The following is a 16260-nucleotide window of genomic DNA, read 5'->3' as shown; positions in this document are numbered from 1 at the left end:
AGACCGTCTCTAAGCAGACCCCTGCTGACCATGATCCCACTAAATAGTCCTCACTGACCTAGGTCTACTGACCAGGCCCACACTGATCAGGCCCCTCCTAACCACGCCAGAAATCCAAGTGGCAATGACATGTTTCATATGGCAAAAGTTGGAACAAGACAGAGAGAGGAAAGAGGTTCCACAGCCTTTTAAACTACTAGATGTCATGAGAACTCACTCACTATCAGGAGGATGGCATTAAGGGCTTGGTGCTTTGCCATTTGTGAAGGATCCACTCCCACCCCTTTATGATTAAAGCTTTTTCCACCTAGGCCCCGACTCTAACATTAGGGAGTGTACTTTCACAGGAGTTTTGGAAGGGGCATAGAGAAAAACCGTATTATTCTGTCCCTGACCCCACAAATCTCATGTCCTTCTCACATTGCAAAATACAGTCATGCCTTGCCAGCAGTCTCCCAAAGTCTTAACTCATTTCAGCATTAACTCAAAGTTACAAAGTCCAAAGTCTCATCTGGGTCAAGGCTACATTCTCTTTTGCCTACGAGTCTCTGAAATAAAAAGCAAGTTCACTGCGTCTAAGGTACAATGATGGTACAGGCATTGTGTAAGTTTTCCATATCCAAAAGAGAGACATTTTCCAGAAAGCTTCTTATTTTTATCTGAGGCCCCCTCAGCCTGGCCTTCACTGTCCATGTTTTTGTCAGCATCCTTGTCACAGCCATTTAACCAGTCTCTAAGATGGTCCAAAAATGTTCTCATCTGTCTGTCTTCTTTGGAGCCCTCCAAACTCTTCCAACCTCTACCCATTACCCAGTTCCGAAGTTGCTTCCACATTTTCAGGTATCTTTATAGCAATGCTGCAGTCCTCATTTGCCATTTTTGGTAAGATTTATTTTGAAAAAGAGGTTTAATTGGCTCATGGTTCTGCAGAGTGGACAAGAAGCTTAGTGCTTCTGCTTCTGGGGGGCCTCAGAAATCTTTCAATCATTGTGCAAGGTAAATGAAAGAGTGAATTGTCTCATATGGCAAGAGGAAATCACGGAGAGTAGGGAGTGATATAGAGTTTTCAGTGGCCAGATCTCACGAGAATTCACTCATGATTGTGAGGACAGTACCAAGGGGATGGTGCTGAACCACTCATGAGAAATTTGCCTTCATGATTCAGTCATCTTATACCAGGATCCACCTCCAACATTAGGAAGCATAACTCAACATGAGATTTGGTGGGGACACATATTCGAATTGCCTCATCAGTCTTTGAGTATAAAGACATCCATAGCAGGCTTTATCCAGCCAGCTTCTTTGGGATTCTTTATAGGGTTTCAGGTCTATAGCATATCCACTAAAATATTCCTACTTCAAAAGGCAATAAAGTAAGTAGTATTATCATTCTTCAAAAAGTTATAATGGTAGTGTAGGCATTCATAGTATGATTTAGTTCATTTGCTACTGTTTCTATTCTATCACCATATTAACACTTTCCTACACAAGTCTATATTCAGCTGGGTTTCAGTTGAGCACAAAGTCATCCTTGTACTACCACCGATAGCTGGCACTAGCTCTTTGATACTGTTATCATTCTGCTGTAGAAAGTACCCGTGAACTGGAAAAAGTCCACAATAGAATAGCTAGTCATTCAACACTATCAAATTTTAGGTGACTTTTTGAAAAAATAGTATCTCTTGTTGCAAGAAATGGTCCATCTGTGATTTCAAGTCTCTCGCTTGAGTGAATTGGATGGAAGTGGTGAATTTCAGCCAAAGTGGCCAAAGAAATCCTGTTCCTGTGATAATGACACCATCAGCCTCTGCTCCTCTGTCTTCACTTCTGCCACATGTTGCCTGTTCTCCGTGACTTTGGTAAGAGCTTCCTTGTGTATGAGGATGATGTCCAGGATGTTGGTCTGGTGTCCCTGAGACAGCACTAACAGGTCCATGGCTGGGTCCAAGGTCCTTCCTGGACTCATTGGCAAAGAGCTTACTGATGTTCTTGAAGGCATCTCTGGTGAAGTGGATGGCCTAGTCAAGTTCCAAGGCCTGGCTGAGGCTGAAGAAAAACTGGCCACCTTCTGATGCTCTTTCTAAAAGCCTGTCACTGTCATCTGCTTGCTTGTCAACTCATTGGCTGTGAGGATGAGCTGAGTGGCCTGTGTCCATCTTCTTGGGGAAGCGTTTGAAGCCATCAGTCTTGCTCTCCCACCCCTAAAGGTTGATGGTCACCACCTGGGGTTGTGCTGAGGGTCAGAAAGAAGCCAGCACTCACTATCTGATCCTTCTCAGCCTTCCTCTTGCACTCTCTCCAGGCTGTCTCTTCAGTGTTGGTGGGATACGTCAGAAAGCGATGGAAGATGTGGCACTGTGTCCACACCCAGAAGCTGGCCATGTGGTTGGCTTATCCACCAGAATGGATGCTCTGGGTGCTCTTTAAGCCAGCTTGGCCTTGCCTGGCATGCACAGGCCCCAGGTTCTGACATGTTGCTCCGAGTGAGCTTGTCCTGCCTTGGGCCAAATTCTGTCAGGCCAGGGCCACAAAAGGCCGAGTCCCACGGGTGGTAATACTGGCTGCTTTCTGCACTTCCACATAAAGACCTCCTGAAGATGGCCTGTGGTCTACCTCTTTGCAACCAAGAAGCCCACAGTGCCATATGAACCCTTAGGCATGGACTGGGGCTCCTGAGGAAGCACACACCCTGCTCCTGAGCCTGCTGCTCATTTTCTCTGTGTGGCTCCATTTGTGTCACAGTTGTTGCACAGACTTGTGCATGCCGGGCAAGGCCAAGCTGGCTCAAAAAGCAACCAGCCACCTCTGCAAGGTTGTGCCAGGAACCGGTGGACCGGCTACCAACCTCACTTGCTGCCGGTCAGCTTACATCAGTTCTTCTACCCTAGAGGTAGGGCCCCAGTGCCATATGCTTTTCCTCAGGCCTCTGCTCTATCAGTCATCAGGCGGCAACCACTCAGGCTGTGGGAACCTGGCCATCCCTCCTTCCTTGAGTAGCTGAGGTTGCTGGCTTGTCTGCCTGCTACAGGTGCAGCCTTGCAGATGTGGCTAGTTGCTCTGAGCCAGCTTGGCCTTGCCTGGCATGCATAGGCCCCAGGTACTGACACTCTGCTCCGAGTCAGCTTGTCCTGCCTTGGGTCAAATTCTAAGTCTGGCCAGGGCCACAGAAGGCCCAGTCCCCTGGGTGCTAATCTTGGCTGCTTTCTGCACTTGAACATAAAGTCCTCCTCAAGAAAGCCTGTGGTCTGCCTGTTGGCGACCAAGAAACCTACAGTGCCATACGAGCCCTGAGGCATGGACTGGAGCCACAAAGGCAGTGCACGCCCCTTTCCTGAGACTGCTGATCATTTCCTCTATATGGCTCCATTTGTAGCACACTTGTTGCAGTGAGGCTTGTGCATGCCAGGCAAGGCCAAGCTGGCTCAAAGAGCAAGCAGCCTCCTCTGCAAGGGTGTGCCAGGAGCAGATTGACCAGCCGCCAACCTCACTCACTGCCAGACGTGGTACATCAGTTCTTCTACCCTAAAGGTGGGGCCAAGAGGCAGACCACAGGCCGTCTTGAAGAGGACTTTATGTTCAAGTGCAGAAAGCAGGCAGGATTACCACCCTGGGGACTCACCCTTCTGTGGCCCACAGTGCCATATGAGCCCTGAGGCATGGACTGGTGCCATCTGCTTTATACAAAAATTAACTTAAGATGGATTAAAGAGTTAAATGTGCCACCTGCTTTTCCTCAGGCCTCTGCTCCATCAGCCATCAGGAGGCAGCCACTCAGGCTGTGGAAACCTGGCCATCCTGGCTTCTTTCAGTGGGTGAGGTTGGTGGCTGGTCCACCTGCTCCAGGCACACCCTTGCAGAGGTGGCTTCTTGCTCTTTGAGCCAGCTTGGCCTTGCCTCGCATGCCCAGGCCCCACCTACTGACACACTGCTCTGAGTGACCTTGTCCTGCCTTGGGCCAAATTCTGTCAGGCCAGGGCCACAGAAGACCAAGTCCCCTGGGTGGTAATCCTGGCTGCTTTCTGCACTTGTACATAAAGTCTTCCTCAAGACGGCCTGTGGTCTGCCTCTTGGCAACAAAGAAGCCTGCAGTGCCATAGGAGCCCTGAGGCATGCACTGGAGCCCCAAAGGCAGTGCACACCCTGCTCCTGAGCCTCCTGCTCCTTTCCTATATATGGCTCCATTTGTAGCACGGTTGTTGCACCGAGGCTTGTGCATGCCAGGCAAGGCCAAGCTGGCTCAAAGAGCAACCAGCCACCTCTTCAAGGGTGTGCCAGGAACAGGTGGGCCAATCACCAACCTCACATGCTGCCAGTCACAGTACATCAGTTCTTCTGCCCTAGAGTTAGGGCCCCAGTGCCATCTGCTTTTCCTCAGGACTCTGCTCCATCAGCCATCAGGTGGCAGCTACTCATGCTGTTGGAACCTGGCCATCTGGGCTTCCTTGAGCGGGTGAGGTTGCTGGCTTGTCCGCCTGCTTAAAGGTACTATGGGGATAGAACACTGAAATAATAATAATGCATTTTTCAAACAAATTAATTCCTTGATTTTCAAACAAATTGAAGACAAAGGAAACTCATGATTCAAATGAATACATATGGTTCATTTTATTCAATATTTATGCTTACAGAATATATGTAAATAAGACATTCCCATGATTAATATTAATATTTAAGACTGATAAACTTTTGAGTGGGCAGTTAAAGCTTATCTTCTACTATTTTCTAACTTCAGAAATGCTTTTGTTTGAAAGTTGGGTGACAAAGTTTCAAGGAGATTAAGTCCCAATATTCCTATTTTAAATCTCTCAGCTTGTGCAGGCAGGGCAGGTAAACATGAAGTTTTTAAGGATAGAAGGGACCTGAGAGACAGCAGAATATGTCTGCTACATAACAGATACTCAGGTTATGTTTGATGAATAAATGGAATGAAAGAATGGAAAAATACAGTTGGGGAGTTCAATATTTTTAAATAAACTCCTATAAAGCAATATTTTTGCAATAGTAATATTTATATGTTATTTTTATTTAAGAATACAATTAAAATGAAATGATTAATCTATCATTGTTTGCATAAATTGAATGAATACATAAGAAAAACATATGTACATAATAAAATATATAGATAATAAAATCTGGAAACAGATAAAAATATTCCCTTTTTACTTCTGAAGAGGCTAAAAGTTCAAAGAAGATAACAATACACTCAATAATGATAAAAAATAGAAAGTGAGAAATTATTTTTAATATTGTAAGATTCATATTCCTGTCTTCCCAAGGATTATTTCTTTATTAATAAACTTTACTAGAAGTTTTGTACATGCTCACTGCAGCAATCACAGATAAGAAAAAGGAAAAGAACTTTACTTAAAATACAAATGCTCAGAAATTACAAATTTTATATTTTGTACATATTTTTTGATAAAACAAGACCATAGTTTGTTTGTATGTATAACTTAATTGATTTTTTTCTCACTAGCTATAACAAAATACATCTTTGCACATCAATATACTTCTGTATCTATTGCCACCTTCAATGGTCACATATTATTCCATCCTGTGGATGCAACTGAAGTTTATTTATAGGATCCATTCTTTGGGTTCTTTTTAAAATAAGTGAGGTGAAAAATAAAGTGCATGTATCTTTATTTCCTAAGGGTGTTTTAGTAAATGGAATTGATGTGTAAAGGGCATACATATTTTTTAATTGTAGTACTTACCACCAAATTATCTATTTGAAAAGTAATCAGCAACTTAAACTTTAAGCAGGAGTATAAAACATCCTCACAAATATTGTGGATAGAAAACTGTTTCATTCCTCTTTTAATTTAAATTCTTATACCAGAAATGCGAAGGACTTTTTCCTATGTACACAAGTAACTTGCAGATCTGGAAAAGTGTACTTTGCCCAATTTTAGAGTGTTTGATGATTTGATTTGAAAGAATTCCCTGTCAAATGAAAATGTACTTTTCATCTAATGTGTATATATAACTGATATATATGACATATTTTATCTGGTATATATGTATACGTATCAGATATATATATATATATATATATATATATATATATATATATATATATATAACTTATGATATATAATAAACAACATAGGCTGGGCGCAGTGGCTCACACCTGTAATCCCAGCATTTTGGGAGGCGGAGGCGGGCAGATCACTTGAGGTCAGCAGTTCGAGACCAGCCTGGCCAACGTGGTGAAACCCCCTCTCTACTAAATATACAAAAATTAGCCAGGCACGCTGGCACCTGCCTATAATCCAAGCTACTTGAGAGGCTGAGGTAGGAGAATTGCTTGAACCCGGCAGGCAGAGGTTGCAGTGAGCCAAGATTGTGCCATTGGACACCAGCCTGGGCAAAGAAGCGAGACTCCGACTCAAAAAAAAAAAAGAATATAATGAATTCCCTATAAAATGAAAACATACTTTTCATCTGAAAATACATACATACATATATATATATATATATATATATATATATATATATAATATAGTAAATATTTTTCAAGTAAGCTCTCTTATCTGAGAACTTTTTGCCTACTGAAATAACTCACGGTATTTTTGATAGGGGAACGAGTTCTCTCATTAGGCACCTCCTATAATGTATATAAACCATGTTTTCAACGTGTACGTTAAAAATAACAACACTGTGTATGCTTAACTTTGTGAGTTAAATCACTCAAATTCTCCAACTGCTCCAGCCATGGAATTATGAGGGATGGAAAACAGCTGAGAGTCCGTTTGGCTCCGCTGCTCTGAGGGTGCCCAGAGCCCTGAAAGGCCCCGTCCCAGGGGCAGTGGGGAAGCCGGGCCTGGGGACCCCCTCCCACCCCGGGCTGAGTCCCCGCTACCTGTGCTGCTTGTCCAGGGCATCCAGGTCTCCGCTCCTGCGCGCCAGGCAGCGCTCCACCCCCGCGGCGTCGCCCTTGACAGCTGCCCTGTGGATCTTCTGCAGTTCGGAGTCCCAGATTCGGTATCCGGAACCCGTGTAGACATGTTCTATGGAGCCGTTGGCCGTTTGGCTCCTGCGGCTCCCGAAGCCGAATAACTTCATAGTGGTGACTTCTCAGAAACCCCAACCTCCGGCTCTTGAGCGGGGGCAGCTCCCTGTCACCTTTTCACCACCCCCCTCCCCCGACCCCGGCCGACCTCCCTGTCACCTTTTCACCCACCTCCTCCGCCGACCCCGGCCGACCCAGCCCCAAATCCCCTATCCAACCCCAAATCCCTGATCCAACCCCCAATCCGCGATCAACCCCCAATCCGCGATCCCAAATCTGTGATCTACTCCACAGTCCGCGATCCAGCCCGGTCCACCACAGCCTTCAGCAGCGACACTCGTAGCCTCCCACCTCTCAGACCGAGTGAGCCTCGCAAAGCCGTTGGGCGCGCGCCTGCACCGCGGTTGCTGCCTGGCTCCCGGAAGCCCTTCCCTGGTGGCGCGTGCCGGCAGGTGGGGCTGCAGCTCTGGGCGGGTGCCGATGAGCTCGCAGGTCCTCTTGGGATCGCCCGGGCGGCCCCAGGATCGCAGGAGCGCCGCCAGCCCGGCCTGAGAAGGAGGGCCTGTCTGGCCTTGCAGCCCACCCCGCTCCTCCTCGGAAGGGAGATAGGGTGCTGGCAAGGGCACTCCGCTGCCACCTGGGTGGCTTCGCAGATGGCCTGGCTTCACGCTGAGGCTCTGGCCCTGGAGTCTGTGTGGCTAGTGTCAGGTAGCTGTAGAGGCATGGAGGCAGAGTCAGGGGCTGCTCTTTCCCCCACCAGCCCTAACTGCTGCCAGTGCCCCACGCACAGTTTGCAGCTGCAGATCTGGCACTGGCGTGGGACGGCGGAGCTTCCCTTGGATGGCCTCAGGGTTGCAGAGCGCACAGCCCACCTGGCCTCAACTTCCGCTCTTCTTGGGCATCTCTCTGGATCCTGGGCCCGGGCGCTGGGCACTCTGTATCCACATGGATGAAACTGAGCAGCTGCTGGCGGGGCCCATCGCCTGATTTTGCCGCCTGGGGGTCTGGTCTCAGGATCCACGCTACTGGGGGGCGGGCCTGGTTTGGGGTGTCCAGTCACTTACTGCCGGTGCACCACGTCTAGACTGCAGCTGCGGCTCCGATGTGGCGTCAGCTGGCGGGCCTGGTACCTGATGTCCTCAGGGTCAAGTGCATCGCCCGCCCACTTGAGGGGTTGCTGTGACTTGGCCTCCTCCAAGAACTCAGGGGCCACCAGGGCTGGCTCTTCGTGGTAACCGGGATGGTATTGAGCAGCAGGTTTTCACCCTGGTGCCACTGCTGTGCGGACTGCCTGACTTGGGCGCCCAGGCACTGGCCTCAGGGTCCGCGTGGCAGGTGTGTGTGCGGGTAGGGTGAGTGGCACGGAGGGTCAGGGGTTGCTCCGTCATCTCTGCCTGTGTGCAACTTGCAGTTTTGCAGTTTTCTGCAGCAGCTGAGGCGCTGGCGTGGGAAGGCGGAGCTCCCCTGGATGGCGTCAGGTTTGCAGGCACAGAGCACAGCCCAGGCCTGAGGGTCCGCTCAGGGGCCATGATGGTTGAGTTCTCCGTGGAAACTGGGATGGGGTGAACAGCCAGTTCCCGTCCTTTGGCCGCCTGGCCAACTACCAGACTTAGCCGCTGCCGCCCAGGCATCTGTCTCTGGGGTTGCCGCTACTTGGGTAGAAGTGGGGGTCGGGGTGGGGCATGGAGTGTCACCGGTTGCCAGGCCAGCACTGTCTTTGCAACATATTCAGATGGCGGCGGGCAGCTCGGGCACCAGCATGGGCTGGGGGGGCTCCCCTGGAAGGCCCTCAGATCGCTCACAGCATTGTCCAAGGGCTTCCTCGGCCTGTGCCAGGTGAGCAAGGTAGGGGGGAGCTTCCAAGGCTTCTATCCCAACTCTACTTATTTCTAGCTATTTTCTCTTGAGTTATTTTGTGTCTATCTCAGTTTTATTTGCAAAAATAGTATATGCAAAATACATCTAGTGAATGTACATCAGGCATATAGAAGATCTGGCAGAAACACGTTTTCTCATGCCCATTTCCATTCAGTATTTGAACACAGAGACTTCCATGGTTTTGATTCTTTCCACAAAAGGATAGTTTTGTCTGTTTTCACCATTTACATAAGTGAAATTATAAATTATATAATTTTTATGTTCATTCACTAAACATGCTTGTGACATCATTTTGCTCCTATTGATTATTCACTAATTTTATTTTGTAATACTCAATTTTATGACTATACCACAGGTTTGAGGCCTTTGCTTGTTTTGTTTATAATCCACTCCACTATTGATAGACACAAAAGCAGTTTCTGATTTGAGGTTATCATGAATAAACCTGCTACGAACAAATCAGATATACACATTTTTCTGTAATAATATTTTCACTTTTCTTGAGTTTAAGTACATAAGAGTGGATTTTCTGGGTTATAAAATAAGTATATATTTGGCATTGTATGAAATAGGGAGACATTTTCCTAAGTGGTTGTGCCATCTTAAACTACAATGAAAATGTTTGAGAGAATCAGTTCCACTTTCTAACCAATACTTGATGATGTCAGCTGTTTTAGTGTTATCCATTCTTATGGGATATAACTGCTGAGTAGCTGTCTGCCTTCCCAATAACACAGAAAATTGAGGGCCCAGAGGACAGTTTTATTTTCATATTTGACATCTTCTATTATTTTTTATAGAAGGGTGATTTGGGTAGTAAAATTGTCTTTCAATTTTCTAGGTTGTCTCTGAATCTTACTGGGGCTCCTTGTCCTAAACCACGTTCAGAAATTTTCACGACCAACTTCTTTTTATCTTTGTCATACCAGGCCAATGAGGGACTGCATTCCTGAGACTTTTTAAGTACTTTTTGTGTGTATGATGGTCTAATAATCATAGCCTTAAAACTTTCTGGCTGGGCATGGTGGCTCATGGCTGTAATCCCAGCAATTCGAGAGGCCAAGGCGGGTGGATCACCTGAGGTCAGGAGTTCAAGACCAGCCTGATCAACGTGCAGAAACCCCAACTCTACTAAAAATAAAAAATTAGCTGCGCATGGTGTCACATGCCTGTAATCCCAGCTACTTGGGAGGCAGGAGCTACTTGGGCTGAGGCAGAAGAATCGCTTGAACCCAGGAAGGGTTGTAATTAGCCGAGATCACACCATTGCACTCCAGCCTGAGCAACAAGAGTGAAATTCCTTCTCAAAAAAAAAAAAGAAAGAAAGAAAAAAAGAATCTCAGACTTCTGGGAGACACTGAATTTGTGAATGTGTACAGCATGTCACAATAACTTTTTTTTTTTGAGACCAAGTCTCACTCTGCTGCCCAAGCTGGAGTGCAGTGGTTCATCTCAGCTCACTGCAAATTCTGTCTCCTGGATTCAAGCAATCCAAGAAGCTGGGATTACAGGTGCTGCAACCATGCCTGGCTAATTTTTGTATTTTTAGTAGAGACAGAGTTTCACATATTGGCCAGGCTGGTCTCGAACTCTTCACCTCAGATGATCCACCTGCCTCAGCCAATGGGTGGACTGTTAACTCAAAATACGCACATTGAATACTGAGGAAAATGTATAGCCATCATCACCAGCAACTGAGATGCCAGTTGAGATACCAGAAATGCCCCAGCATGTAACTCCTCTTTTAATTCACAAACACACACACACACACACACACACACACACACACACACACTCATGGTAACCAGTTCAGGATGGACACAGAAACAGTCACAGTCTTTTTTGGGAACACACTCCCCTGTGACACTTAGATCCTAATGCTGACTCCAATTCCCTCCTGGGACCTCCCCTCTCCTTGCAGCTTGCTGGGCTTTCCCTTAGAAAACCCCATGTCATTTCCTTCAATGGAACATGAATCAGCTTCAGCCACAGAGTCTGCATGTCTCTGTCCATAGCAAACGTTTTTATTACCTTAAAATATAGATTTTTACCTTAACTAGCCAAGACCTAGGACCCTTTTTCCAAGCTCTTTTAGATGAAGTAATAAATGCAAATATTAGAGATGTGTACATGTGTATAAATATATGGAGAAAAGATATTGCCTAGTTGTACAAATTAGCTTTAATAAAACTCCTGATTTAAATTATTTAATTGTGAGAAGGGCGATTCTAACTCAACACACCAACGAAATAAAAGCCTTATCCCTCTGCTCCGCCAAAATATCCCATTTAGAGCCTGCGTTTGTGTGTACATACACGTGTGCACTCATCCCCACCTGACCGTATCAAATTATTATTTAAACTAGATATTTTTACTTTGTTGCATAGTAGTAATGGTTTCTGGAATGAAAAAATAAAAAACAGGAGAATAAAACTGTTTAAATGTATCTCCGGGTGAACGCTGTGGCCACTGCACGGACCCCGTCGATGGCGCCCAGTACCTGCGTCTCAGGAAGAGGTTCTGGCGGGGCCTCCGCCTGAGGCCGCGCCCCTGAGACCTGTCCCGCGTCCATGTGAATGCGGAGCGCAGCATTCACCATCCCCTCCCTGAAACAGCGGTCCCCGAGGTGCTCCACAGGCAGGGCCGAGCTGGGCAAGGGGGAGCCCAGCCCCTGCACGGGCCGCCCTGAGCGGCGGGGACGCAGGAAGAGCTCGCTGGCTCCACCAGCCCCTACCCCAGATGCGGGACCTCAGACCAGCAAGGACCTGGAGCCCCCGCCCAACGGTTGCCAGGAGGCGGACAGGGGCGGCTCCTGGGGGGCTACCACCCCGAGGCCATTCCTCCAGAACTTGAGCGACTTGGGAAGGCGCAGTGTCCTGCCCTTGAAGAGGAACCTGTGTCCTGGAGGCAGCAGCCTGGGAGCTCCTCCTCCGAGGACACCGCAGAGGCGAGGGACTCTGGCGGCGCAGCACTGGCTTTCCCGTCCGCAGAGGAGAGCTGTGGGGCTGGGTGAGCTGGACCAGGGAGCACGGCTGGCTGCTCTCGGCCTCCGATGGGGAGTGGACAGCTTAGGGGGTTGCCCCCGTGCCAGCCAGCCTGCTGGCCACTCTGGGCTTCATCACAGCCTCACCTGCCTGCGCAGGCACCTAGCACTGCAGGCTGGAGCTTCTGGCCATGTTGGTCAACTTCCCCAACGAGCCTCTGCTGCCTGGGAACAGCAAGGCCAGAGCTACACCGCCCTGCACTTGGCAGCCATTTACCTTGGAGATGGTGAAGCTGCTAGTGGGGACATAGGACGCCGATGTTGACATCAGGGACTACATTGGGGAAAGGGCCTCCCAGCATGTGAGTCAGAGCATCACAGAAGAGATTGAGACCCTGATGGGAGTCCTGGACAAGGACGATGGGGAGAGCACCCCCAGCAGCGGGGGTGGGTACTGGAAGATTTAAAAGCTTCCCCCTCCATCTCACCACCTACAAACTCTCACACGTCCTGGAAGATGGGGGGACCCTCTCCACCATCACCACTTGGCTGAAGGTGGTCCAGACGTGAAGCCAAGGATTCCAGGGTGCACAGCGTCGGGCAGGACTAATGGACTTAAAAAACACAGGCTCAACAAAATCCACTTCACAACCCAGATGGTTCACATCACACCCTCTTTCAAGGACCCAGAGCAGCCACTGGAAGAGAAGGAGTAGGAACGCTCTCTTAAAGTCCACTTATCCTATTCCTTCAAATTAAGACCAAAGTCCAATGTATTTAGGTAAAAAATAATTTCTTTTAGAAAATGCTAGGGTTTGTCTTCTGAAATTTAATAACAGAAACAAAAAAAGAACACTAGATGTAATGAAGTGAGACCAGAAAAGACAAACTAAACTATCCTTACTAGGTTGGAATGGATGGGGTGGAGTTCCTATCAGGCTAGCATTCTGGGGAAAGCTGTATTTTTTTTTTTTTTTTGGCAGTGGGGGGAAGGTGTCTCACTCTGTCGCCCAGGCTGGAATGCAGTGGCGCCATCTCCGCTCACTGCAAGCTCCGCCCCTCGGGTTTATGCCATTCTCCAGCCCCAGCCTCCCAGTAGCTGGGACTACAGGCGTCCGCCACCACACACGGCTAATTTTTTTGTATTTTTAGTAGAGACGGTGTTTCACCGTGTTCTCCAGGATGGTCTTGATTCCTGACCTAGTGATCCGCCCGCCTCTGCCTCCCAAAGTGCTGGGATTACAGGCGTGAGCCACTGCGCCTGGCCGGATTTCTTTTTAAGAGATTCATCATACCTTGACCAGTGCCCCATTTCCCTCCTCCACCTGTCTGACCTGGCATTCCTATTTTGGGAGACCAGAAGTGGGGGGGAGAAGGGATGACTGTTTCTTTGCTTTCACCATTCCTGCATGCCATGCAAAGGAAGGAATATTGTGCTTTTAAATATCCGTTTTATTAAGTAAGTGGTTACCCTTTCAAGGACAAAAAAAATGCAAATTGTTACAAAACTGGTAGTATTTGTAAGTGAAAGCACTACACGCTGCCTTGTTCTTTTACCAATTGCATTTGCATTTTAAGGTACTACTGGTACAGCCATGGTGGAGAACAGTTTGGAGGTTCCTCTAAACACTGAAAATAGAGGTGCCACATGATCCAGCAATCCCACTGTTGGATATATACCCCAGAAATAAGAAATGAGTATATCGAAGAAATTATCTGCACTCCCATGTTGGTTGCACCACTGTTGACAATAGCTAAGATTTGGAAGCAACCTAAGTGTCCATCAACAGATTAATGTATTAAAGAAAATGTGGTAGATACACACAGTGGAGTATTATTCAGCCCTAAAAAAGAATGAGATTCAGTCATTTGCAACAACATGGAAGGAACTGGATATCATTATGTTAAGGGAAATAAGCCAAGCACGGAAAGGCAGACATTGCATGTTCTCACTTATTTGTGGGATCTAAAAATCAAAACAATTGAACTCATGGACATAGTAAGTACTAGGGGGCTGATGGGGGGAGACAGGGCACGGGTAATGGGTACAAAAATAGGCAGAAGGAATGAATAAGACATACTATTTGATAGCACAACAGGGGGACTCTAGTCAATAATTGTACATTTAAAAATAACTAAAAGAATCTAATTGGATTGTAACACAAAGGAAACATGCTTAAAGGGATGGATACCCACTCTCCATGATGTGATTAGTTCATGCTGCATGCCTGTATCAAAACATCTCATGCACCCCATAAATATATATGCTTATTATATACTCACAAAAATGCTTGAAAATAAAAATAAAGGAACTACTGAAGGTCAGGTCAGAGTGGAAATGTAAAAATACTAATTAGAGAATAATGTGAATACAACAGGAATCCTGTTGGTATTCTATTTATATTGTAAGCAGCAGTTCAATTGTTTTGTAAAAGTAATTTCAATTTTAATCACTGAACTAAAGAAATGGGCAAGGCTGACTTCCGTAATATAGGTTCTACCTAACCATCTCTAACACCGCTGTCAAGGAGGACCAGTGTTAAGGTACATTACTAACAACCACACAAATTTTTAAAAGAAAAGAACACTCTTAGCAGCCTATGGTACTTTGAAATGAAATATTGCCTCTCATTCTCACTTGTGTTGCCATTCCAAAAGTATGAATTTGCTGAGGTTTATATTCTGGGTATTATATAACCATTGGTTCTGTTTGGCATAACCCTATTAAATGGTGCTCAGAGCTGAATTACCTACAGAAACTTTCTGGTTTAATTAGCATAAATTGGTATAAATATTAGTGAGCCCATACTTCTGTGATATAATTAAACCAACTTAATGATTCTCACATAAGGTGTCAATTTATTTTACTAATGCATTCATAATCTATGCTTTGTAGCAACATTTTTCAAATGTTTAAAATGCTAAATCTTCTCAATTTTCCAATCTTTTCTTGAATCTATTAGATACCTATAGTGTAGTTACTGAATAGCTGGGAAACAAATACACCTAGTTAGAAATCGCACTGCTTTATAAAAGGCACTAGAGAAAAGACGAGACTATTCCTATATTTAAATGCTGCTGGCAAGTGAATTCCTCGTATATAAATGAAAGATACCATTCATTAAAATGAAAGACTTGTTTTAAGTGTGATTCTTACATTTCATTCATTTATGATAGAGTAAATGGCTTTATAATTACTTTAAAATTTAACTCACTAGTACATTAAATCTGTTCATTGCAAGATTAGAATCAACTGTGAGGGGAACTAATTTAAACAAGCCCTTCCTTAGTCTTATTGAGTCTCATATTTGCTGAAAGTACCTACAGCTTGCAGGATAAGGGAGTTCACGGACCATAGGGTGAGTGAACCCATGCACAAATTGCAAACTGCCCAGAGCTACTACATTTAGGATTTTTAGACCTTTAATTTTCCAAGTCATAGAAATGTGTTACAGGTTCATCACATCTTTGTCTACATGGCAACTGAATTTCTTTAAAGATAGGTTAAAAAAAAGGCATAAAACTATGAATTATTATCCATTTGTGTGCCTCTATTTTTGCTTTAGAATTATGGAAATGGACCCTGTGAATTTGGGAAACACTGTTATGTATACACATGGGTGAAAAACAAACTAACATTGTGTAAATTAAAATACTTTTTTTGAAGTTGAAAAACATCCATTTGTTCTAAATCTATATATATTATGTGTATCTAGTACAGAATAAGGTGTAACTTCTCATTGAGTAATCTTAGGTTTTACAGATATGTAAAGCTGAAGCAACTCTAAAGAGTAGACACTTCAGAACAGGAAGGTTCTGGTCAATGTTGAGAGTAGACACTTTCACTGAAGGTTCTGGTGAAATGTGGGTAACTAATTGCTTGAAATCTATAATTAGCTATATAGTTAACTATTAAGTTAAAATGTCATTTATCATGCCTTTTACACTAAAAGCTTTAACTTTTCTGAGAAAATAATATTTTAAATGTTCAATTATTACTTCTGAGGAAAGCTACTTCTAGCATTCTTTGTCATGATGTGCTTGTGTGCAGTAAGCAGAGCATTTTTAGCCACTTACCTCTACAATGTTCCTGTTTTTCAATTTCTGATTTAGATTATAAAAGGCAAATGATTAATTTAATTTGATACTCAGAGTTGTGTTTACTTTTAATGGACAAATATATGTCAGATACTTTGATGTTTATTGATATGACACCGTGTGGTTAAACAACGCAAGTATGTCCATGTGTTTCTTATAGGGTACACTTGAAACTAGTGATGTTTATGCAGTTCACTTATGTAACTTGAAAATCTGGTACTATTGCATTCAGGACTGAAATCTTGGAGTTTAGGTGTCTTGTCTCTCATTTTGAAAATAAGTGAAA

The 16260-nt window shown here is 45.3% G+C and overlaps 3 pseudogenes across 3 annotated transcripts in view, besides 1 other annotated feature; 2 read left to right on the top strand and 1 right to left on the bottom strand.

Moving 5' to 3' along the window:
* The window catches only part of TEKT4P2 (tektin 4 pseudogene 2), a 61406-nt pseudogene that overhangs the window by 34506 nt on the left and 10640 nt on the right, over window positions 1–16260 (top strand). The window lies entirely within an intron of this gene.
* Window positions 1448–2403, bottom strand: SNX18P11 (sorting nexin 18 pseudogene 11; annotated as a pseudogene).
* Window positions 11127–11388: a silencer, noted in NCBI's record as "fragment chr21:9922701-9922962 (GRCh37/hg19 assembly coordinates)". NCBI's record gives its function as "represses an EF-1alpha promoter that drives an FKBP-Casp9 reporter gene in an ReSE screen in K562 erythroleukemia cells {active_cell/tissue: K562}" and the evidence as "EXISTENCE:reporter gene assay evidence [ECO:0000049][PMID:32094911]".
* Window positions 11347–12655, top strand: SOWAHCP2 (SOWAHC pseudogene 2; annotated as a pseudogene).

This window comes from Homo sapiens, chromosome 21 (assembly GCF_000001405.40).
Source record: "Homo sapiens chromosome 21, GRCh38.p14 Primary Assembly".
Lineage (NCBI taxonomy): Eukaryota > Metazoa > Chordata > Mammalia > Primates > Hominidae > Homo > Homo sapiens.
The sequence above is the reverse complement of the archived record's forward strand: the minus strand, read 5'-3'. Positions and strand labels throughout refer to the sequence as shown.